At 36.7% G+C, this 26,780-nt stretch overlaps 1 long non-coding RNA gene across 21 annotated transcripts in view; it reads left to right on the top strand.

Moving 5' to 3' along the window:
* LINC01837 (long intergenic non-protein coding RNA 1837) overlaps positions 1-26,561 on the top strand; it is a 234,720-nt gene extending 208,159 nt beyond the window's left edge. For 18 of the 21 annotated variants that reach the window (XR_007067222.1, XR_007067219.1, XR_007067217.1 and 15 more), the window contains 2 exons: positions 24,082-24,349; positions 24,776-26,561. This is a non-coding gene — a long non-coding RNA (long intergenic non-protein coding RNA 1837). Of the gene's footprint in view, positions 1-4,628; positions 4,983-24,081; positions 24,350-24,775 lie in introns of those variants that run through there. The other 3 variants (XR_001753908.2, XR_001753905.2, XR_002958401.2) reach the window with 1 other exon arrangement.
* Positions 26,562-26,780: the final 219 nt, after the last annotated feature.

Below are 26,780 nucleotides of genomic sequence, written 5' to 3'. Positions count from 1 at the left end.
CATTGGTCTGTTCAGATTTTCTGTTTCTTAATGATTTAGTCTTGGTAGATTGCATGTTTCTAAGAATTTTCTCGATTCTAGATTATCTCATTTGTTGATGTACAATTGTCCATAGTAATCTTATAATTCTTTGTATCTCTGTGGTATTGGTTTTAATGTCTCCTCTTTCAGTTCTGACTTTGAGTCCTCATTTTTCCCTTAGTCTAGCTGAAGGTTTATCAATTTTTTTCAAAAAAGAACAACTCAGTTCTGTTGATCTTTTGAATTATTTTTGAATAGTCTCTCTTATTTATTTTTGCTCTGATCTTTAGTATTTCCTTCCTCTGAGCTTCTTTTTCTTCCAGTTCCTTGAGGTGAAATATTAAGCTATTTATATTCAGTCTTCTTTTTGTTATAGGCATTTCTTGCTATAAACTTTCTTTTTAGAGCTGCTTTTGCTACATCTCATAAGTTTTGGTACGTTGTGTTTCCATTTTCGTTTGTCTCAAGATATTTTAAAATTTATGTTTTAATTTCTTCTTTGACTCAATTGTTGTTCATAGCCTTCTATTTTTTCCTGGCTTCCATCATTTCTTTGCAGAAGTCAGCTGTCAGTCCATCCATTGCTACTTTTAAGGTAATACTTCTTTTCTTTTCTGGATGTTTTTAAGGGACTTTTCTTTTTGTTATAGCAGTTAGGCGCTCATATTCTGAGTTGTAGTTTCTTCATATTTATTTGCCTAACATTTGCAGAGTTTCTTGATTTTCAGTTGGAAATCTTTTTCCCATTTATGATGTTGTGTTGGCAAATTCTTTTCTTGAATTATTACTGGCCATTATCTCTTCAAATATTGCTCATGCCCCTTTCCCTCTTTCCTCTCTTCATTATCTTTAATCAGTAGTATATTAAACATTTTTACTGTACCACATGTTCCCCTTACATTTTCTTCTGTATTTTTCATATATTTTCCTCTCTGTTATATTTTAAGTGAATTGGCTCCTGTTTTAATTTCCAATTTACTTATTTTTTAAAGCTGTGTTTAATTTGCTACTAAACACTTCTATTGAGTACACAATTTCAGCCATTAAAATTTTTCAGATCTAGAATTACATTTTATTCTTAAAAAGTATTCTTGGGAGAACTTCATCTTGCCTATTTTCCTGAACATGCTAACCATAGTTATTTTAGTCAATGTCTGATAACCTTAAATCTATGAAGATGTTCCTATTTGTATGATTTCTAGCCACCCCCCACTTGGTTTTGTTTCCTTCTGTGCTTGATAATTTTTAAATTTTATACCAGACATACTCTCTGAAAAATTGTAGAAGCTTTCAGTGATTATCTTCTTCTACATGACAGTGAGAGTATAAACATACCAATTTGATTCAATCCAGAACTGAGCTGACTCCTGTCTGGGTTTCACTGTTTGTAAGGCTGATTCTATCTCTGGTTTGTCCTTCAGGCATCTCAGCTGAAAGCCTGAATATTTACCAGTGTATTGCTTCATTGGTGAGCACTGAACTTTAATTTTTGTATTCCTAGCATGGTAAGATAGCCAAAACCTCCCTTCAGCTTTTCTTCCTCTCTTTGCTTGGCTTCAGGGACTCTAGCCCCACAAAGCTTTGGAATCAGTAAATGTCTCAAGGAGAAAACAGGTGCAGAGTGCCAGATGTATGTCTGTGACTCCTACTCTCTGGAAACTTGGCTGTTTATGTTTAGCTAGAGTGACAGTCCTGAATTCCAATTTTTATGTTCTTAGCCTGTGAAATTAAGGAAAAATTAAATATGCCATCTCAGGCCTCTTGCTCTTTGCAGCCAAGGAGGATTGGTAAATCCTCCAAGGGGATAATTAGTAGATGTAATGTTGGGCTAACTTTCACATCCCTTCCCTCCCTTCCGGGGTCATGGCCTCTTAATCCTGATTGCTTTGGTAACGTTCTGATTCTTCTAGAAGACATCCCTTTGTGTATTTTATCTAGATTTTCTAGTTCAATGGGAGATCGGATGCTCTATAAGCTACTCCATGTAAGTCAAAATCTCAGAACTCCATAGTACACTTTGGACTATAATTCCTCATCAGTTGAAACAATGGATTGGATATCATGTTGTAAACTCTTAGGAGGTAAACTTATGTAAGGAAAGTTCACTAAAATAAAAAATTCCATTCATCTCCATAAGAAGGATCCATGTTTACCATGTACTTGAGATTGAATATTAGGCAATCAAAAACTACAGGAAAGATGAGCTGCTATTTTAGCAGCTATGACTGTCTTCCATTATTGTAACCAGACTACGTCCTAAAACTCACTTATTTATTTTTAATTGACAAAATTGCATGTATTTAATGTGTACAACATAATGTTTTGAAACATGTATAAATTATTAAATGTCTAAATCAAATTAATTAACATATGCATTGCCCACATATTTATCATTTTTTTGTGGTAAGAACAATTAAAATATCTCTTAGTGGTTTCTAAGCACACAATACGTTGTTATTATGTCCTAAAACCCTTAGCCAACCTTGCTGAATTATACTAATCTGTTCTTAATAAAACAACCTGTTTGTGATGGGCTAAAAGACAATTTTTTGTTTTACTTTTTCTTTCAGAATTTTATAAATATTGTTCCATTTTCTTCTGGGATTGAATGATACTTTAGTAACATTTGGAGACAACATCATATATTTCTTTGCTGCTAACAACCATAAATGCCTTTTTTTGGTTAACTAATAACTGTACAGTATTATATCCCAGAATCCAGGTAACAGTCAACCCATATCTTGGACAGACTGTGTCACTATGCATCAATTTTCCTTGGAACATCTGAATCCTTCTGAAATAACAGGTTCTCTTTCTACTTTCTTGACTCAAGTATTTCAATATTTCTTAACCTGGACATCTTCAAACTCATAGAGAACTTTAAAAATACGGATGGGAATTTTTCCAACTTTTTTTTTTTGGGGGGACGGAGTCTTGCCCTATCCCCCAGGCTGGAGTGCAGTGGTGTGATCTTGGCTCACTGCAACCTCTGCCTCCCGGGTTCAAGTGATCCTCCTGCCTCAGCCTCCCAAGTAGCTGGGACTACAGATGTCCACCAGCATGCCTGGCTAATTTTTGTACTTTTAGTGGAGACAGGGTTTCACCATATCAGCCAGGCTGGTCTTGAACTCCTGACCTCAGGAGATTTGCCTGCCTCGGCCTCCCAAAGTTTTGAGATTATAGTCGTGAGCCACCATGCCTGGCCTCCAACTATTTTCAGTACTTCAAAATCTTTAAAGGAGAACAACGAATTTTCTTAAGAGGTATCTGAAGGCTGAAGAGGCCATCAAGGGCCTAGTTTTTGTTCTGAAGTCTATCAACTCAGCTAGTGGTGGTCATTTTAGGATAATCTGCAGCTCTGATTGACAACCACATGTCTTAGATTAAAGAAGAGTTAAAACAAGTAGACATATAGGACTATATAAAACTAAAAAGCTTCACAGCAGAAGAAACAATCAAAAAAGTGAAGAAACAACCTCTTGAATGGGAGAAAATGTTTGCAAACTACACATCCTCCAGGGGACTAATACCCAGAATATACAAGGAACTAAGCAACACCATAGTGAAAAAACAAATAATCCCATTAAAAATGGACAAAAGAAGGGAACAAACATGTCTCAAGAGAAGATGTATGAATGGCCAACAGGTCTATGAAAAAATGCTCGATATTACTACTAATCATTCAGGGAAAGGCAAATTAAAACCACAGTGATATAGCATCTCACACCAGTCAGGATGGCTATTACTAAAAAGACAAAAAGTAATAGATGCTAGCAAGGAAGTGGAGAAAAGGGAAGTCATACACTGCTGGTGGAAATGTAAATTAGTACAACCACTATGGAAAATAGTATGGAGATTTCTCAAAAAACTAAAAATAGAACTACCATAAGATACAGCAATCGACCACTGGGGATTTATCCAAAGGAAAATAAATCTGTATATCAAAGTGAGACCTGCTCTTGCGTGTTTATTGCAGCACTATTCACAATAGCCAAGATATGGAATCAACCTAAGTGTCCACAGCAGATGAATGAATAAAGAGGATGTGGTATGTACACACAATGGAGTACTATTCGGCCATAAAAAATGAAATTATGTTATTTGCAGCAACATGGGTGGAACTGGAGGAGGCCATTATGTTAAGTGAAATAAACCAGGCACAGAAAGACAAATATTGCATAGTCTCACTCATATGTGGGAGTCAAAAATGTTCTCATGGACATAGAAAATAGACTAACAGCTACCAGAGACTGGGAAGAGGAGGTGAGTGAGTAGGAGTGAGGGAATGAGGAGAGTTTGCGTACAAATATATAGTCAGATGAAATAAATAAGTTCTAATGTTTGATAGCAGACCAGGGTGATTATACTTAGCAACAGTAGTTTGTATATTTCAAAGTTACTATAAGAGTGGACTTAAAACGATATCAACAATAGACATGATAAGTACTTGAGTACTTACCATGGATACCCCAAATACCCTGACCTGATCATCACACATTATACATGTGTAACAAACACTTACCCCATAAATATGTAAAATATTATGTACCTATAAAAGGAAAAAAAGTGAGAAAATGAATTATTTGTTACTTTGCTTTGTGTCATAGATGCAGTATTCCAAAGCAGGAGATTCACTGAAAAAGATGTTTAAGAAGTTGCTGATGAAGAAAAGTTCAGGATTCACAGCTCCATACAAAGGGAATAGCCACTTTTCTCATTTTGAGATATGACTACTAACAAGTATTATTCTGCATCTTCAGCCAGGCTGTGGAAGGCCCCATTCTTTCTGTAACACAGATGTTCAATTGGAATTTTCCATCTGGTCACATAATTCTGCTTTGGGATTTAACAGGTTAACTTGGCACTGGTCACTGGCCTTGGAGGGCAAAATATGATAGTTCAGCATAGATTCTATTTGTTGATAACTCATCATAGCCACATTGGCATCAATAAGTTTTCTGTAGGGCACACTTTTCCTTTAATGTGGACACAGTCACATAATAATATGCTTATGGTGCAGACGTTGGTTCTAAACTCACTTTGCATTATCTGTATCTGTATCTGCATCTATATCTGTATCTGTATCTATCTGTATCTACATCTGTATCTGTATCTGTACTTATATCTGTATCTGTATCTATCTGTATCTGTATCTATATCTGTATCTGTATATATATCTGTATCTATTTGTATCATCTATCAGTATCTGTATCTATATTTGTATCTATCTATATCTGTATCTGTATCTGTCTGTATTTGTATCTGTATCTGTATCATCAATCTGTACCTGTAGCTGTCTGTATCTGTATCATCTATCTGTATCTGTATCTATACTTGTATCTGGATCTATATCTGTATCTATACTTGTATCTGTATCTATATCTGTATCTATCTGTATCTGTATCTGTATCATCTATCTGTATCTGTATTTTTATCTGTATCTTTATCTATACCAGTATCTGTATCTATCTGTACTTGTATCTATCTGTGTCTGTAACTGTCTGTAATTATTTATCTACATCTATTTCTATCTAATCTCATTTTATTTTTATTTATTTTTGGAGCAGTTTCAGGTTCACAGCAAAATGGAGCAGCAAACACAGAGATTTCCCATACAACCCGGTCCCCACATGTGCACAGCCTCCCCCATTGTTAACAACCCCTGCCAAGGTGGCATTTTTGTTATAACTGATGAACCTACATTTACACATACTTATCACCCAAAGTTCATAGTTTACATTAGGGCTCACTCTTGTTGTACATTATACAGATTCAGACCGGTTATGATGATACGTCTTTATCATCATGGTATTGTACAGAGCAGCTTCATATCCTAAAAATCTTCTGCACTCAGTCTGTTCATGCCTTCCCACTAACCCTTGGCAGCCACTAATCTTTTTACTGTCTACCTTCTTTTGCCTTTTCCAAAATGTCATATAGTTGGAATCATACAGTATGAGGCCTTTTCACATTGGCTTTTCTCATTTAGTAATATGCATTTAAGACTCCTCTCTGTCTTTTTACGGTTTGATAGCTCATTTTATGACTTGATAGCTCATTGATTTTCAGCACTAAATAATATTTCATTGTCTAAATGTACCACAGTTTATTTTTCCATTCATCTGTTGAAGAACATCTTGATTTTTTCTAAGTTTTGGCACATATGAATGAATAAAGTTGATATACATATCTGTGTGCAGATTTTTCTGTGTATCTGTTTTCAGCTCCTTTGGGTAAATATCAAGGAGTATGATTGCTGGATAGTATGGCAGGAGTGTGTTTAGTGTTGTAAGAAATCACCAAATTACCTTCCAAAGTGATTGTACCATTTTGTATTCCTACCTGCAATGAATGAGTTCCTTTAGCTCCACATCCTTATATTTAATGTCTCAGTGTTCTGGATTTTGGCCATTCTAACAGGTGTGTAGTGTATATCACAGCTGTACTAATTTGCATTTACCTTATGTCATATGTCATGGAGCACCTTTTCATATGCTTATTTTCCATCTGCATATCTTCTTTGTTGAGGTGTCTGTTAAGGTCTTTGGCACAATTTATTAAATGAGCCATTTTCTTATTATTGAGTTTTAAGAGTTCTTTGCATATTTTGAATAATAGTTCTTTATCAGATGTGTCTTTTGCAAATATTTCTCCCAGTCTGTGGCTTCTCTTTTTACTTTCTTGACAGCATATTTCATAGGGCTAAAATTTTTAATTTTAATGAAGTTCAGCTTATTGCTTCATTATTCCATGGATTGTGTCTTTGGTGTTTGGTCTATAAAGTCATTGCTAAACTCTAGATTAGCTGGATTTTCTCTTATACTGTTTTCTAGGAGTTTCATAGTTTTGTATTTTACATTTGGGGCTGTGATGTACTTTGAGTTAATTGTTTTGAAGGGTGTAAGGTCTGTGTCTAGACTCTTTTTTTTTTTTTTTGGTTTGCATGTGGATGTCCAGTTGTTTCCGCACCATTTGTTCAAAATACTATCTTTGTTCCATTTTATTGCCTTTTTTCCTTTGCTAAAAATCTGCTGACTATACTTATGTGGGCCTATTTCCGGGCTTTCTATTTTGTTCTAATGAGCTGTTTGTCTGTTCTTTCACCAATGCCACATTATCTTGTTTACCGTGGTTTTACAGTAAAACTTGAAGTTGGTTAGAGACGGTCTTCCAACTTTGTTCTTCATACTGTGCTGATTATTTTGGGTCTTTGACCTCTCCGTATAAACTTTATTATTTTATTTTATTTTTTTAAAGATGAGGTCTCACTATGCTGCCCAGGCTGGAGTTGAATTCCTGGGCTTAAGCAATACTTTCACTTCAGCCTCCAGAGTATCTGGGACTACAGGTATTTGCCACCATGCTCAGCTCATATACCTCAGAATTATTTATTGATACCTGCAAAATAATTTGCTGGGATTTCGATGGGATTGCATTAAATCCATGGGTCAAGTTGAGAACTGACATCTTGACAATATTGAGTCTTCCTATCCATAAACATGAAATATCTCTATTTAATTATTCTTTGACTTTTCCAACAGAGTTTTGTGGTTTTCCTTATACATATTTCTTATGTATTTTGTTACATTTATACCTGAGTGTTTCATCTAGTGGGTGATAATGTAAAAGGCATTATGTTTTTAGTTTCAATTCCACTTGTTCATTGCTGGTATGTAGAAAAGTGATTGACTTTTGTATGTCAATATTGTATCTTGCAACTTTGCTAAAATTACTTATTTTTTTGTCAGTTATTTTGGACTTTATACCCAGACAATCACCACTTGTAAACAGAGTTTCATTTCTTCCCAATCTGCATATCGTTTTAGAAATTTTATTTTCTTATTGCATTAGTTAGCATTTCCACTACCACCACCTTAAAAAGCAGTGGTAACAGAGGACATCCTTGCCATGTTTCTCATTTTACTAAGAGGGTTTTTTCTCCCATTAACTATAATATTAGCTGTAAGTGTTTTGTAAATATGCTTTGTCATATTGAGGAAGTTCCCCTCTATCCTAGTTTGTTGAGTGCTTTTTATCATGAATGGGTATTGGATTTTTTCAAATGCCTTTTCTGTATCTATTGATATAATTATGCAATATTTTTATTCTTTTAGGTTGTTGATAAGCTGGATTACATTAATTGCTTCTCAAATATTGAACAAGCTTCATATAATTGGGATACATTCCACCTGGTCATGGTGTATAATTCTTTTTACGTATTGTTAAATTCAATTTGCTAGTATTTTGTTGAGGAGTTTTACATCTATGCTCATGAGAGGTATTGGTTTGCAGTTTTCTTGTAACGTCTCTGAGGTTTTTGTATTAGAACAATGTTGGCCTCATAGAATGAGTTAAGAAGTACAGATGCTCTTTGATGTACAATGGGGTTGTGTTCTGATACCCATGGTATGTCAAAAATGAATTTAATGCCCTGATAAACCCATCATAAAGTCAACAAATCTTAAGTAAAACTACATAAGTCAGAGACCTTCTGTATTCCCTCTGTCAGTGTCTTCTGAAAGAGATTGTAAAAAAAAATGAATCCGTGTAATTACTTCCTTAAGTATTTGGTAGAATTTACCAGTAGACCAAATGCTTTCTGCTTTGCAAAGTTATTTATTGATTCGATTTTGGCAATAGGCATAGGCCTATTCAGATTGCCTACCTTTCATGTGAGTTTGCGTGACAGACACAGCGAACTGTGTCTGTCAAGGACTTGGTCCACTTAATCTAGGTTATCAAATTTATGGGTATAAAGTTGTTCATACCATTCCTTTATTATAATTTTGATGTCCATTGGATCTGTAGTGATGTCCCCTCTTTCATTTCTGATGTTCATAATTTGTTTTTTCTATCTTTTTTTCATAGTTACACTGGATGGCAGTCTATTGATTTTATTGATTTTTTTTAAAAGAACCACCTTTTGGTTTTATTAATTTTTTCTATTTCCTTTTATCAATTTCATTGCTTTCTGTTTTTTAAAAATTATTTATTTTCTTCTGCTTACCTTGAATTTAATTTTCTCTTTTTTTTTCTTGTTTCCTATGGTGGGAACCTAGATAATTAATTTTAGATCTTTCTTCTTTTTTTTAAATATATTCATGCAATGCTATAAATTTCCCTCTAAGCATCACTTTTTCCACATTCCACATATTTCAATATGTAGTGGTTTTACTTTTATTTAGTTCATTATTTTATTTAGTTAATTCAAAATATTTTAAATTTTTCTTGAGATTTCTTTTTTGGCCAATGTGTTATTTAGAAGTGTGTCCTTTAATCTCCAAATATTTTGGGATTTTCCAGCTATCTGTCTGTAATTAATTTCTAGATTAATTCCATTGTGATCTCAGAGCAGACAATATATTATTTTTATTCTTTTAGATTTGTTCAGGTGTATTTTATGGCCAAGAATGTAGTCTATTTTGGTGAATGTTCCATATGAGCTTGAGAAGAATGTATATTCCTGTATTCCTTTATACCAAAAAATTAGATATCCATGGTAGTTCCCATGTAGAAGAGACAATCAAGGTCCTGAGATCGGCATGTAAAATAATTATACATAAAAAATATTCCCCTGGCTGGGCATGGTGGCTCAGGCCTGTAATCCCAGCACTTTGGGAGGCCGAGGTGGGTTGTTCACGAGGTCAGGAGATTGAGACCATCCTGGCTAACATGGGGAAACCCCGTCTCTACTAAAAATACAAAAAAAAAAAAAAAGGAAAAATTAGCCGGGTGTGGTGGCAGGCACCTGTAGTCCCAGCTACTTGGGAGGCTGAGGCAGGAGAATGGCATGAACCCAAGAGGCGGAGCTTGCAATGAGCTGAGATCGTGCCACTGCACTCCAGCCTGGGTGACAGAGCAAGACTCCGTCTAAAAAAAAAAGAAAAAAAAATGCCCCTGTGTGTTTTTTTTAATTAACTGATTGTCTCCAGAGTTAGAATTCTTTCAAGGTGATGTTGATGTAATATCAAATGTTTGGCATGCAAGACTGGGGTTTGAAGTGCAAAGAAGTTAAGCCTTCAAGAATCTAGACTATCCTGCTAATGTGCAAAGTTTTCTTTAGAGTTTGCTTGCTTGTATGTCAAGAAACCAACTGAGTTTTCATTTAATGTGGGCAGAGTAATAGTGGTTCCCATTTTCGTTATTTTTTCCATACTTTTTCTTTGCACAGAAAATTATCTCTCCTGTAATTATTCAAAATAAAATCTTTCTTGCTGGTTAGACCTCCAAAATCCAGTGGTTGAGACCTCCTAAAATCCAATTAAGTTGACTTGCTTACTTATGTTCCTCAGATCCACCTTTATGTAAGCTATAACACAAAACCCCGAGGCACTTTGGAAGATAATTTTGAAAATTGATGTTTGCACTTTAGGAGGCCGATTCGGGCAGATCACTTGAGGTCAGGAGTTCAAGACCAACCTGGCCAGCACGGCAAAACCCTGTCTCTATTAAAAATACAAAAATTAGCTGGATTGATGGCAGGCGCCTGTATTCCTAGCTAGTTGGGAGGCTGAGGCAGGAGAGTCACTTGAAACCAGGAGGTGAAGTTTGCAGTGAGCAGAGATGTGCCACTGTGCTCCAGCCTGAGAAACAGAGCAAGACTCTGTCTCAAAAAAAAAAAAAGAAAAAGAAAATTGATATTTGCTGCAAGAGAGATTATGAAATTTTAAGAAGTGTTAAATTACTGCAGGTAGTAAGTACTGGGTCTATGTTGGCTTGTATACATAAGATATGTTTAACCTTGACTGTTACCTGTGAAGTGGTTTGGATTTTGTTCAATTATCTGGATGTTCATTCTTGTCCATGTCTCTGTTCCTGACTGCAAGCTGCTAGAGGTCAAGCTATGCCCTGTGGATCATTATAAATTTTATTTTCTACATAGTTGTAAAACTTCTTCCTTTTAATTCCAAGTGACATTGTCTGAAAAGTGTCTAAAATGACATTGGAAATTCTATTGAGGTCCAGTGGACATCATTCAGTTAATGTAAGTTTACCTTAATTGTTCAGTGTTAGTTTGAAGTGATTAGACCATTAACTTAAGAAGTCACTAGAAGGTAGTATAAGGTCTAAGGATAAGAGGGATGTACACACAGGTTAGTAGCATTTGTAGGGCATGTGGACATTTTTGCTTCTAAAACAATTTTTTAAAATTATACGAATATTTCGATTCAGTTGAGTATTTTGTGAGTCTTCAAAATGTATCAGTAGACAATTGCAGTGAGATAAGCTTCTTCAAGGTCATAAGACTCAATTATCATTGGTTTGTTATTGGAACAGTCATGTTCATTAATCCATCTCCTCATCAATCCATCCAACCAGTTGTCATGTACTATGTTTCAGGTACTATTTGAAATCTGAGGATTATAATAGTGGACAAAAGAAACAAGGAGATATGGGGAAATGTGGGTACGCAAAGTCCCTGAAAGGCTAATGAGAGTGGAGTGTTGGTAGAACAGAAAGAACACCAGTTTGACTGAAAAGTAGTAAACAAGGCTTCACAAAGGCACTCAGATAAGGGCTGCAAGCTAGTTGGAATTTGATTCTAAATCCAAAGGAAAGCTGCTGGAGAGTTGGACATAGTGGAGTAATGTGAAATGACTATTATTTTTTAAAAAGAAATTTATTTTTTACAACAAATTTGGATTTAGAGAAAAATTGAGAAGATACTACAGACAGTTTCCACATACCTAATACCCAGTTTCCTCTGTCATTAACATCTTGCATTAGTATGGTACATTTGTTATAATTACTAAATGAATATTGATACAGTATTATTAATTAAAGCCCATGCTATATTCATATATTCTTAGGTTTTATAAAATTTCTTCTGTTTCATCCAAAATACCATGTTACATGTAGTCATCCTGTCTCCTTAGGATTTCTTTGGATATAAAAGTTTCTCAGGCTTTTCTTGTTTTGATGACCTTGACAGCTTGCAGAAGTCCTTGTCAAGAATTTTGTCAAATGCTCCTCTATTGGAAATTGTTCTGTGTTTTTATCATGATTTGCCTGGGTAGCTTTTATCACAATTAAAATGGGTTTTGGGGAAGAAGACCACAGAGGTAGAGGGCCATTTTCATCACATCATGTCAACAGTACATACTATCAACATGTTCTATTGTTATTGATGCTGACTTTCATAACGTTGTTGAAGTTGGGTGTCAGGTTTCCCCACTATAAAGTTATTGATTCTCCCCACCCACCACCATTTTATCATAGTATACTTTGCTGGAAAGAAGTCACTAAGCACAATCCATCTCTAAGGAATGAGGAATTGTGCTCTCCCTGTCTTTGAGGGCAGAGTATCTACGTACATTATTTGGAATTCTTCTTACAGATTTGTCTCTTATTCCCATATACTTACTTATTTAAGCATTACTTATATTGATATTCCATTGTATGAATGCACCACAATCTGTTTATCCATTTACATATTGAAGACTATCTTAGTTGCTTCCCAGTTTTTGGTAATTATGAGTAAAGCTATTATAAACATTCACATGCAGTTTTTTGCATAGATACATTTTCCAGTCAGTTGGGTAGATACATAGGAGTGCAATTGCTGGTTTGTATGGCTAAGGTTATGTTTTGCTTTGTAAGAAGTGGCCAAGCTGTCTTCTCAAATGGCTGTCCCATTTTGCATTCCCTGTTGCAATGAATGAGAGTTTCTGTTGCTCTGTATCTTCATCAGTATTTGATGTTATCACGCTTTTAGATTTTAGTCATTCTAATAGGTACATAGTGATATCTTATTGTTGTTTTAATTTACAATTCCTCAATGATAAATTATGTTGTGTACCTTCTCATTTACCTATTTGCTATCTGTATTTCTTCTTTTGTGAGTTTTTTGTTCAGATCTTCTCCTTGTATTTTTAAACTAGTTTTAAAAAAAGTTGAGTTATTTTCCTATAGTTGAGAAAATAGGAAATACATTTGTCAACTCCCATTGCCAAACCCAAAGTCATTAGATGTGTTTTGCAAATATTTTATCCCAGACTATACACAGAAACTATATGTATCTTACAAATTTTTGTTTTAATAAAATTTAACTTATTAATTTTTATATAACATTAAGTTTGGATTATACTTTTGGTGTATCTAAACACTCATTGCCAAACCCAAAGTCACTTAGATTTTTCTCATGTTTTCTTCTGGATGTTTATTATACTTTTATATTTTGCATTTAGGTTTATGATCAACTTTGAATTAATTTTGATGAAAAGTGTAAGGTATGTGTTTATATTCTCTTTTTAAATATGCACATCCAATTGATTCAGAACCATTTGTTGAAAATACTTCTTTTCCCTTGAATTGCTTTTGCTCTTTTGCCAAAGATCTGTTGACTATATTTTGTGGCTCTATTTCTGGGCTTTTTAGTCTATTACACTTGATCTATGTGTCTGCTTTTTCATTAATACCATACTGTCTTGATTTCCATACCTTTATTATAAGTATTAAAATTTGGTTGTGTGAGTCTTCCAACTTTGTTTTTATTCAGTATTGCATGAGCCATTGTATGTATTTTGCCTTTCCACATGAACTTTAGAATCAGTTTGTGACTATCTGTGAAACAGCTTCCTGCAATTTTGATTGGGATTGCATTGAATCTATAGATCAAGTTGGGAAGAACTGACATTTTAACAATATTGAGTCTTCCAGTCAATGAACATGGAATATCCTTCCATTTATTTAGATCTTTGATTTTTTAAAATCACAGTTTTATTGTTTTCTGCACAGATACTATATGTATCTTATTAATTTCATTCCTAAGTATTTCATTGTTTGGGTGCCATTATAAACCGTATTTATTTATTTATTTATTTGAGACAGAGTCTCACTCTGTTCCCCAGACGGGAGTACAGTGATGCAATCATGGGTCACTGTAGCCTTTACCTCCCGGGCTCAAGTGATTCCCCCACCTCAGCCTCCTGGGCAACTGAGACTGCTAGCATGTGACACTATGCCTATTTTTATTTTTTGTAAAGATAGTGTATTCACTATGTTTCCTAGGCTGATCTTGGATTCCTGGACTCCAGCAATTCTTTTGCCTTGGCCTCCCAAAGTGATGGGATTACAGGCTTAAGCTGCCATACCTGACTGATAGTATTTTTGAATTTCACATTTCAATTGTTCATTGTGGTATATAGGAAAGCAATTGACTTTTGTATATTAATCTTGTATCCTGTAACCTTTTATACTCACTTATTAAATCCAGGAGATTTGTTTTGCTTTGTTTTGTTATAGTTTTTGATCAATTCTTTGGGATGTTCTACATTGATAATAATGTCATCTTTGAACAAAGACAATTTTACTTGTTCCTTTCCAGTCTTATAAAGTTTATTTCTGTTTCTTTTCTTATTGCACTGGATAAGACTTCAAGTATCCTGCTGAATAAGAGTGGCAAGACAGGATATCTTTGCTTTGTTGACAACTTTATAGGGAAAGTGTCTGTTTTTTCCCTGTTATGTATGGTGCTATTTATTTTTGGTAGATGTTCTCTATCATATTAAGGCAGTTCCCAGCTAGCTGAGAGTTTTCTTGTGATTATGTGTTGGATTTTGTCAAAGGTTATGCTGGCCTGTTACTAAGCATCTTGCTTCTATTTTCTGGAAGAGATTGTAGAGAACTGGCATAGTCTTTACCATAAATATTTGGTAGAATTTATCAGTGAATCCATCCAGGCCTGATGCTTTCTCTTTTTGGAAGTTTGTTAATGATTAATTCAATTTTTTAATAAATGTAGGCCTACTTAGATTATTTGTTTCTTCTTGTGTAAGTTTTAGTAATTTGTGTCTTTCAAGAATCAATCCATCTCATCTAAGTTAAAAAATTTGTGAGTATGGAATAGTTCACAGAATTTTTAAATTATTCTTTTAATCTTCGTAGGAACAGTAGTGATGAGTCTTATTTCATTTCTGATGTTGGTAATTTGTGTCATCTCTTTTTTTTTCTTGGTTAGCTTGCCTAGACATTTATCAATTTATTAATTTTTTAAAAAAAGAACCAGCTATTCGTTCTAATTATTTCCTTTATTTTCTTATTTTCCTTTCATTGATTTCTGCTTTTCATTTAATTGTTTCCTTTTGTATGCTTGCCTTAGGTTTATCTTGTTCTTCTACTAGTTTCAAAAAGTAAGAATTTAGATTATTGATTGGAAAACTTTTCTCTTTTCTAATGTAAGCACAGTTTACCCTTGAACAATGGTTTTGAACTGTGATTTATATGTGGATTTTTTTTTCAATAAGTATACTGGAAAATTTTTTGGGAATTTGCAACAATTTGAAAAAATTCACAAACTGTATGAGATAGAAATATCATTTTTTTAAAGTTCAGTATATTATGCATGCATAAAATATATGTAAATACTAGTCTACTTTATCACTTACTACCATAAAATATACACACATCTGTTAGAAAAAGTTAAAATTTATCAGAACTTACATACATAAACACAGACACCTTTCATAGTTGAGAGAAATGTAAACAAATGTAAGGATGCAATATTAAATTATACCTGCATAAAATGTAATTGTAGCGTGTGTTAGACTATTGTAATAATTTAGCAGCCTCCTCTTGTTGCTATTGTGGTGAGCTAGTGTTAAGGGTATCTACTTATAGTGCTGTGAGAGGCTAATCATCTCCCCATGAGCAGTTTGTGTCTCAGTAAAAAGTGATTTCTTGTGGTTCTCATCTATTTCCCATAGTGTTTAGTGCAATACCTTAAACCTTGAATAACACTCTGGGGCCCATTCTAAGTGCCACTAGTGATGCTGGAAGTGCTCCCAAGAAGTAGAAAAAAGTCACGACATTACAAGAAAAAGTTTAATTGCTTGATAGGTGCCATAGATTGAGGTCTAAAGCTGCTGTTGCCCACCATTTTCTTCCTTCCTTCCTTTTTTTCTTTCTTTCTTTTTTTTTTAAGAAATGGGATCTTGCTTTGTTGCCCAGGCTGGACTTGAGCTCTTGGGCTCAAGCAGTCCTCCTGCCACAGCCTCCCAAGTGTCTGGGACTTCAGGCATGTGCCAGTGTGCTCAGTCATCTGCCATTTCAAGATAAATGATTCCAGGCAAAGGACCATAGCAAAAAAAGAAAAGGAAACTTGTGAAGCTGTCTTTTCAGCTATACTAGTAGGCACAAAAACCTGGTAATTTTTTGTGAAATGCTTTTTATTATTGTATTGAAAATGCAGCTTTTATGTGGGTGCAGGATTGCTATAAAAAAGGCATACCTATAGACTCTAACATGATTCGAGAAAATGGGAAATCATTATGTGACAACTTAAAGCAAAAGGAATGCGAATAATCTAAAGCTGGAGAATTTATTGCCAGCAAAGGATGATGTTATAATTTTAGAAAGAGATTTAGCTTAAAAAATATAAAGATAACAGGAGAAGCACCTTCTGCTGACCAAGAGGCAGCAGATGAGTTTCCAGGAACTATTAACAAAATCATTGAGAAGAAAGGATATCTGCCTGAACAGGTTTTTAACGCAGACAAAAGCTCCTTATTCTGATTTTTAAAAAAGTCTTGAAAAGCATCTATTCATAAGGAAGAGAAGCCAGCCCCAGCACCAGGATTTAAGGCAGGAAGGGACAGGCTAACTTTACTGTTTTATGAAAATGCACTGGATTTATGATCAGGACTGCTCTTATCTATAAAGCTACTAACCCCTGAGCCTTGAAAGGAAAGGGTAAACACCAGCTACCAGTCTTTTGGTTGTCCTGTAACAAGACAGCCTGGACAATGAGAACTTTTTTTTTTGGGGGGTGGGGGGCAGTAGAGGGGGTTAGTTCCAAAGATGCTTTGTCTCTAAAGTCAGGAAGTACCTTGGCAGTTAGGAACTGTCTTTTAAAATTATTTTGAAATTGAACCATGCCCCTAGCCACCCAGAACCCCAATGAGTTCAACACTGAAGGCATCCTACTTGCTCCCAAACACAATGTCTCTACTTCAGCCTCTAGATCAGGAGGACATAAGGACCTTTAAAGCTTATTAAACATGACACTGTAGAAAGGATTGTCATACTATGGAAGAGAGAAACCTTGATAGAGAGAACATCATGAAAGTCTGGAAAGATTATACCATTCCATGAAGATACCATCATTGTTATAGAAAGCCATGAAAACCATCCAGCCCAAAGCAATACATTTCTACTGGAGAAAACTGTGTCCAGATGTTATGCATGACTTCACCAGATATGTGACAGAGCCAATCAAGGACATCTTGAAAGAGACTGTGGATATGGCCAAAATGGTGGGGGAAGCATGAAGGGTTCCAAGATACAGATCTTGGAGAAATTCAAGAACTAATAGATGCCACATCAAAGGAGTTAACAGAAGAAGGCTTGCAGTAGGTGTTTCCAAACCAGTGCCAGATTATGAGGAAGACATAGAAGAAGCAGTGCCAGAAAACAGGTTGACATTAGGCAGTCCGATGAAAGGATTCCAAGTATTTAAGACTGCTGTTGACTTCTTTAACAACATGGACTCTTTTGTGACAGGGGCAATGAAATGAAAGCAAATGGTAGAAGAAGAATTGATACCATATAGAAACATTTTTAGAGAAATGAAGAAGCAAAGAAGTCAGACAGAAATCATGATCTATTTCCATAAGATTATACTCAGTGTGGTCTGCCTCTCTTGCTCCCTTTCTACCTCCTCCACCTCTTTTGCCTGTGCCACCCCTGAGACAGCAAGACCAATGCCTCCTTTCCCTCCTTCTTTTCAGTTTACCCAATGGGAAGATGATGAGGATGAAGACCTTTACAATGATCCACTTCCTCTTAACAAATAGTAAATATATTTCTCTTCTTTATGATTTTCTTGATAATGTTTTCTTTTCTCTAGCATACTTTCTTGTAAGAATACATTATATAATATATATAACATATAAAATGTGTGTATCAACTGTTTATATTATTGGTAAGGCTTCTGGTCAATAACAGGCTGTTAGTAGTTATGTTTTTCGGGAGTCAAAAATTATACACACTTTTTTTACTACATGGCACGGGTTGGGGAACCAGTACCCCTAACCCCCATATTGTTCAGGGGTCAACTATATTTACTAATACAAATATTCCTCTTACTATTACTTTAGCTTGATCTCATAAATTTGATATGGTTTGTTTTTATTTTAATTTTGTTCTACTTTTTTTTTTTTTCTGAGACGGGGTCTCCCTCTGTCACCCAGGTTGGAGAGCAGTGGAAAGATCTCAGCTCTTTGCATCCTTTGCCTCCTGGGTTCAAGTGATTCTCATGTTTCAGCCTCCCAAGTAGCTAGGATTACAGGTGCACAGGTGTACACCACCATGCCCGACCAATTTTTATATTTTTAGTAGAGACAGGGTTTCACCATGTTGGCCAGGCTGGTCTCGAACTCCTGGGCTCAAGTGATTTGACCACCTCGGCTTCCAAAAGTGCTGGGATTACAGGTGTGAGCCACCATGCCTGGCCTGTGTTATGTATTTTTAATAAGACTTCCTCTTGAGCCATGGATTATTTAGAAATGCATTGTTTAATTTCCAATTATTGGAGGTTTTCCTGTTGCCTTTCTCTTATAATTTCTAGTTTGATTCCATCATGGTAAAAAAAATAGTCTGTATGATTTAAAAGAATTTAAAATTTAAAATTCTTTTAAATTTGCTGAGGTTTGTTTCATGACTCAAGATATAGTCTACCTTGGTAAATTTTTCAAGGATGCTTGAAAAGAACATGTATTCTGCTGCTGCTGCTGGATGGGGGAATGTTTTATAAATGTCAAATAGATTCTGTTGGTTGATGGTGTTCAGTTCTTTTATATCCTGCCTCATTTTCTATCTAGTATTTCTATCAGTTGCCAATAGTGGGATGTTGAAATTCTAACTATAATTGTGGATTTTTCTATTTCTCATTTCAAGTCTATCAGTTTTTGCTTCATGTATTTTGATGTTCTGTTATGTGGTGCATACACAATTAAGAATGTTATATCTTCTTGCAGATTCATTACATCATGTTTCTTTTTGTCATACACACACACACACACACACACACACACACTTGCTTCAAAGTCCCTTCATCTGAATACCTACTCTTGTGATTTTTTGATTATTTATTCCAAGATATATGCATATTTTTTTCCTTCCATTCTTTTACACTCAATCTACCTAGTTGTCACATTTAAAGTGAGTTTCTTGTAGATAGCATGTATTGGGTCATATTTTTTGTTTACTCTGCTAAATCACTATCTTTTAGCTGTGTTTGGACCATGTACACATAAAGTAATTATTGACATGTTAAGATTTAGGTTTGCTTTTTTATTAGTTGTTTTCTATTTGTTCCTGTGGTATTTTTTTGTTCTGTTTTTATTTTTCTTCCTTTTCTGTGGATTAATTCAAAATTTTCACAGTTCCATTTTGATTTATTTCTAATATTTTTGAATATGTCACCTTGTACAGTTTTCTTAGTGGTTACTGTAAATCTTACCATAGACATAATGGTAAGATATTTAGGTTTTAGCACCTAAAGTGAAGTGTATATAGACCTTACTTCTATTTAGGCACCCTTATCCTCTCCACTTTTAAAATATAATTGTTTTAAAGTATTTCTTTTATATACCTTAATCACCACCTTAGATGGTGTTGTAGCTGTTGCTTTAACCACAAAGAAACTCATGAGTTGAAGGATGGTCTTATTATGTTGACTTCTGTTTTTGCCCATTCCATTGTTTCTTCTTCAAATATTATATTCTTTTTCTGTTGTTCTTTTCTTTTTGTTTGGACAGCTTTCCTTACCCCTTCTCAAACAGTAGGTGTGCTCCAAATTATCTTAGTTTTTATTTGTCTGAAAAAATCATTATTTTTTCGTTATTCCTAAAGGGCACTTTTGCTGGATATAGGATTTAAGGTTGACAGTTCTTTTCTTCTTTTTTTTTTTTTTCCCAAAACTTGAAAAATATTGTGCTACTTTCTTCTGGCCTCCATAGCTTCAGATAAAAAAAAAAATCCATTGTCATTTAAATTGGTGTTTTTTTCCTTTGGTAATACATTATTTCTCTCTTTAATGTTATTTTTGTTGTGTTTAGTTTTCAGTATTGTGATGTGTCTTGGAGTGGATTTCTTCAGGTTTATATCTGGAACTTACCCAGCTTCAAAAATCTGCAGGTTTATTTATTTATTTATTTATTTTTACCAAATTTTGGAAGTTTTTAACTATTATTTCTTTCAAATACTTTTTCAGTCCCACTGTCTCTTTTCCTTCTGGGATTCTGATAATATAAAGATTAGACCTTTGGTTATTTTCCCACAGATCCCTGAGGCTCTGTTAAATTTGTCCCTCTGTTGTTCCGAATGAGTAACTTCTATTGATCTGTCTTTATGTTCATTGCTTCTGTCCTCTGTCATCTCCAGTTTACTACTGAACTTACCAATGGATTTTTTATTTGGGATTTTTTTCTCAGTTATATAATTTCAATTTGGTGGCTTTTACAACTTGTATTTTTTTCCACTTTTTCATTTGTTTCATATGAATTTGTAATTGCTTGTTGAAGCATTTTTACCATGGTTGTTCTAAACTCTTTGTCAGATAAATTCAGCATCAGATGCAACTTGGTATGGGTGTTAGTTGATTGCCTTGTTTCTTTCTAATTATGATTTTTCTGGTTCTTGGTATGAGGAGTGAATTAGATTGTATCTTGTATATTTTGATTATTATGGCAGAGCACTAATAATCATATTTCAATCTTCTATTTCAGTGGGCAGTCACTCTGTTTGGGTTTAGTGTGCACTTTCTGGCACACTTTTGTGAACTTTAGTTCCAGTGACAGTTTAGATTTTTGAGCCCTGTGATGCTGTTCTAGTCTGTTTCATGCTTCAGGTGCTGCTGGGGCTCCTGAGCAATTTCTGATGGTGTCAAATGTAGAAAAAATAAGATGCTTGCTTCTCTGGGATGGCTGCTGTTACTGGGTGACCTTCTGGGGAGGAAAGGCAGGAGATGCTGGGCCTGAGTCTCCTCATGCTCCTGGTTGGAGACCAGGGAGACATGGGGCTTCACTGCTGCTGCTGTTGGCTGCTGATTGCAGATTGGCCTGTCCACTGAAGTCTGGTTATGGAGTAGAGTCTAGGCTATCCTGGAGCTTTGCTGTTGCCACTGAGGACAGATCAGACTACCCTTCAGGACCCTGGTTGTAAGACAAGGGTTGGCATGACTGGGCTTTGCTGCCACTGTGCTTAACAAACAGACCACTGTTCTGGGCCTGGGTTGTGCAGCAGGGTTGGAATTTCCCACATGGTCTTTGTTGGCTTTCCTCATGCCCAGTGCCTTGGCTTCCCTTTTGTGCGTGCAGGTTTGTGTGTGTGTACTTGTTGGCAGTTCTGGGTTGCAAGCTCCTCTGAAGCCTAGTGTAGTAGTATATGGAAGATGCAAAGAAAATCTGAGGAACTCACCACATTGGCATTCAAGCTCCAAGTCTCCTAGGTAGTCCATCCTCTTCTTTCCAGTCTTTAGAGTCCTTCTAACATTGTCTATTGAATAAATTCCACAGTATTTAGTTATATTTAGAGGTCATTGGAAGGGGAGGGTGAGGCTATGCCATGTTGCTCCTGAAGTGGAAGTCTGGTACACAATTTTTTTTTTTTTTTTTTTTTTTACTAATCTTCAACAAAGCATACAAAACCATAAATTGAGGAAAAGACAACCTATTTAATAAATGGTGCTGGGGAAATGGACAGGCCACATGTAGAAGAATAAAACTAGATCCCCATATCTTACCTCATACAAAAATCAACTCAAAACAGATCAAAGACTTAAATCTAAGACCTGAAACCGCAAAAATTCAGAAAGATGACATTGGAAAAACTCTCTGAACATTGGCCTAGGCAAAGGATTCATGACCATGACCCCAAAAGCAAATGTAACAAAAATCAAAATAAATAAATGGGACATAATTAAATTAAAATGCTTCTGCACAATAATAATAATAATAATAATAATAATAATAATAATCATCATCATCATCATCAGCAGAGTAAACAGACAACCCACAGAAGGGGAGAAAATATTTGCAAACTGTGCAGGTGAGAAAAGACTAGTGTCTAGAATCTATAAGGAACTCAAACAAAGGCAATGGACAGGAAAGCCATTTCTTAAACATATGAAAAAAAATGTTCAACATCACTAATTATCAGGGAAATGCGAATTACAGCTACAATGAGCTATCACCTCCTTCCTATAAGAATGGACATAACTAAAAAGTCAAAAAACAATAGACGTTGGTGTGGATGTGGTGAAAGGGAACACTTTTACACTGCTGGTGGGAATGTGAATTAGTACAACTTGTATGGAAAGCGATATGGAGATTCCTTAAAGAACAAAACGTAGATCTACTATTCGATGTAGCAATCCCACTGCTGGGTATGTAACTAAAAGAATAGAAGTTATTATATGAAAAAGACACTTGTACGTGCATGTTTATAGCAGCACAACTCACAGTTGCAAAGATATGGAACCAGTCTAAGTGCCCATTGACCAATGAGTAGATAAAGAAAATGTGGTACATATACACCATGGAATATTACTCAGCCATAAAGAGGAACTAAATAATGTATTTTATAGCAACTTAGATTGAGCTGGAGGCCATTATTCTAAGTGAAGTAATTCAGGAATGGAAAACCAAACACTGCGTGTTCTCACTTACAAGTAGGAGCTAAGCTATGAGAACACAAAGACTGAGTGATATGATGGACTTTGGAGATTAGGGGGAGGGTGGGAAGTGGGGGGATTTAAAAACCTACATATTGGGTACAATGTACACTACTCGGGTGACAGGTGGGTGCACTAAAATCTTAGAATTCAGTACTATAGAATTCATTCATGTAACCAAAAACCTATTGAACCCCAAAAGCTACTGAAATGAAAAAACAATAATGATCATCCTTTGACTTTGAATCCAATGGACATGGCTCTTCATTGGATAAGGAAGCCTTTGAAATCCAAATGGCAGAGTTGCATGAGGCCCTCCTTCCCCACCTCTCCTCCCCACTAGGACCTTTGGACTCTTCTGCCTGTGTCCAGTGCAAATGCTTTGTAACTCTGCCTCTTGGCTTAATGCCTGCCTTAATTAGCTAGTCTGCCTCATCACTGTCTGTCTGTGATGGGCCCATAACTCTGTGATGGGGACCTTTTGTCTAACAGACTCACTCTGTCCCAGGCCTAAATGGGAGCTCTATGCAGATGGAGTGCTTAATAAATGGTTTTGATGATGGTGGGATGGAGGCCTAGAAATGACGGCTGCAAGAAGAGAGTTGCTAAACCCGCAGCTCTTCTGTTTGGCCACAGTCCCTGTCTTGATAATTTTTGACAGTAAAAGCTGCCCTTATTCAGCTGCTGGTTGACTTCATGGGACCTTCTCTAAGGTGCAGGCCAGTGTCCAAGTTAACTCTTAGAAGGAAGTAGAGCTGCCAGCTCATTTGAGACAGGAATATTTAGGGGCAGTTCTTTAGTCTTCAGAACTTTTCATCAAAGCAGTTGCTCTCTGCTGTGAGCCACTTAAGGGATCTCTCCAGGGAATGCATTGGTGGCTTCACTTTCAGGGGTCAGGGACCTCACATATTGTGCTCTCATACTCCTAGGGTGGTGAGTTGCCAGATTTGCTGGCCGATAAACAAGGGGCAGCAGGCCAGGGCCCGGGTGTAGCAAGAAGCATCCCATCAGAGGCTCCTGGCTGGGCGCTTTTGTGTCTGGAACCCAAAGTGGCTGATATAGTTTGGCTGAGTCCCCACCTAAATCTCGTTCTGAATTGTAGCTTCCACAGTTCCCACATGTCATGGGAGGGACCCGGTGGGAGGTAATTGAATCATGGGGGCAGGTCTTTCCCGTGCTGTTCTTGTGATAGTGAATAAGTCTCACGAGATTTGATGGTTTAATAAAGGAGAGTTCCCTTGCACACACTGTCTCTTGCCTGCCACCATGTAAGACGTGCCTTTCACCTTACACCATGATTGTGAGGCCTCCCCAGCCCCATGGAACTGTGAGTCCATTAAACCTCTTTTTCTTCAGAAATTACCCAGACTTGCGTATGTCTTTATTAGCAGCACAAGAATGGAATAGTACAGTGGCTACGAACACAGAAACCACACTCCAGGCCCAGTCCCCGGCAGTGGCCTCCAGGACCCACTCTGAGCTAGATCACATCAGTGATGGGCTGGCCAATCTTTAAGGAGAATGACTCTACTCTTAGGAAGCCAGCAGGTTGGAGGAGGAAACACATTCAAATCCCGAGCACAAGGAGCTGGGAGAAGACCGGTTATGGGAGCGGCATTCCTGGAAGCTCTGAAGTCACAGCCCCACTGATGAAAGGTATGATGTGAAGTGGGAGCTATGGGGGTGAAGTCTTGTGCAGCGACCCCTGGTGTGGCAGAAAGAAACTCCTCTTTTTTCAAATGGTCCCCTGGGGTACCATCATGCTGCAGTGAGAAACCAGTTCCCCAGTTGCTGCCTTTTTTTTCCCTCCCTCACACTTAATAGACTGTTCCAGCCTCAGGGCCTTTGCACATGCTGCCCCTCTGTCCGGAACACAGTTTCCCTAGACCTTTGCATGGCCAGCTCCTTCTGGTCCCCCAAGCCCCAACTCCAATGTCACTTCCTTGTGGAGGCCACCTGGAACCATCTATCACACCTGCTCCTCTCTGTCTTATGGCTCTATATTGTTTTAAACAACATGATCTCAAATCAATTTTTTAAATGTATTATGTTTCTTCTTTCTCTGCCTGGCCCTCCCACTAGGATGTAAGAACCTAAGAGTGGAAACCTGCCCCTGGGATTCATATGGTGTCCCCTCAGGACTCAAACCCTGGTCTGGTATGCTCAGTAAATGAATGAATATACCCACTACACCCCAGGTTATTTTTTTTCTGAAGACATCGTTTGACACAGAGGGAACACTGTAGATAAGAAGCCCAACCCTGTTAGAAAGCAGAAGGGTTTGTTTGGGAAAAGGAAACAAAATATATTTTTAAGCTCCATAAACATATGATGAATGCTAACAAGGTATTTTCAAAATAAGAAGCACATAGAAACAGCTTATGTTTCTGGTCAAATGAAGTTGTAATCAAATCGTTATCAAAGCAAAAAAAAAGAGAGGAAGAAATCAAAATGAGTCAGAAGAGTTTTTGGAAAGATTCAGCAACTTAACTGACTTGAAGAGATTTCCCTTGTCTCAGTCTTACTGCTGCTTCTAGGGGAACACAGTTTTGCACGGGAATCGAGGCCAACTTGCAACCCACAGGCACTCTGGAGGAACAAAGAAAGTATCGCCTGCAACTCACCACGGTCTCTCTCTCTTAAGCCCTTGCTCTTGCCAGAAGAAGTTTCACACAAAGGTTTGCCTGCGAGGCTGCGCTTTCCTCTCCAGATCAGCAGAAACAACTTACCAGCAGAAATACTTAATGACGGAGCCAAGACTGGCACAGCCACGCGGTCACAGCTTTGTTCCCAAGAAGCAAGCCAATTAGCAGCCCTGGTTATTATTTACATTTCCCGCAATATATCACTAAAATTGTGTTGATGATTTATCATTTATATTATGTTATTGTCAGCATAATTTATTCAGATCATGCTGAGATACCTGGAAAATTAAGTAAAAGAAAAAGAAGTGGCATTGAATTCATCGGGTTTGAAAGATATTTCTCAGCTTCTTTTTTCTCTCCCTCTCTTTCTCTCTCTCTCTCTCTTTTAATGAGGATAGATGTTAAGAAAAATCATGGATCACTTAGCTATTAAATTGTTCCAGGATCATCTGCATTAAAAGTTTGCTCAGTATTCTTTTGTGAGAGAACATGGCTTGGGCGTTCATTTGGATTTTCTTCTGGAACCTTTTCTTTCAGTCTATTATTTCAAAGTAAAAAAAAAAGGAAATGCAATCCTCTTTAGTTTAGAGCAAAGCAGAGTGGATTAATGAGGGGCTGGAGGCTTCTCTTCCAATTTATAAAACATCCTTATCTTCTGCCTTATATTCTATTTGCCCCACCCTCTGGGAAATAATTGTTGCTTATCAGAATTAGAGATAAAATATTCCAGTTGTTGAAGCCATTCATCATCTAGGCATTCTAGAAAAGCAGTTACTGAACTAGAGGCAGCATTTTGAGCATCAGAGCTCTGGGTTCTAGTCCCAGGTCTGTCCAGGCTTTGTGTGATTCCAGGAGTCACTGAAGCTATCCTGCTTCTGTTTCCCCAGCAGTGGGATTCATGGATGTCCAGGATCAGGCTTGCTGGGTCTGCCCCAGGTCTTCAGAATCAGACTGCCTGGGGAAGGCACATGGAGGTCTTTTTGACAGGTGTCATAGGTGATACTTCTACACACTTCAGTTAGAAAAGTCATTGGGCTTACATATGCCTGCAGCCACTTCCAGCTCCAGTCTTCCTAGAGTTCTACGGACTCTAATTATATGGCATGTTTTGCATATTTCTGAAACTTCATATGGGAAACAAACTTTTGGAAATTGATTCATTTAAGAATCTGTGGCCAGGCGTGGTGGCTCACGACTGTAATCCCAGCACTTTGGGAGGCTGAGGCGGGTGCATTGCCTGAGGTCAGGAGTTCAAGACCAGCCTGACCAACATGGTGAAACCCTGTCTCCGCTAAAAATACAAAAAATAGCCGGGCATGGTGGCGCACACCTGTAATCCCAGCTACTCCAGAGGCTGAGGCAGGAGAATTGCTTGAGACCAGGAAGCGGAGGTTGCAGTGAGCACTGCACTCCAGCCTGGGCAGCAAAAGCGGAACTCTCTC

This window comes from Homo sapiens, chromosome 19 (genome assembly GCF_000001405.40).
Source record: "Homo sapiens chromosome 19, GRCh38.p14 Primary Assembly".
NCBI classification, from domain to species: Eukaryota; Metazoa; Chordata; class Mammalia; order Primates; family Hominidae; genus Homo; species Homo sapiens.
The sequence above is the reverse complement of the archived record's forward strand: the minus strand, read 5'-3'. Positions and strand labels throughout refer to the sequence as shown.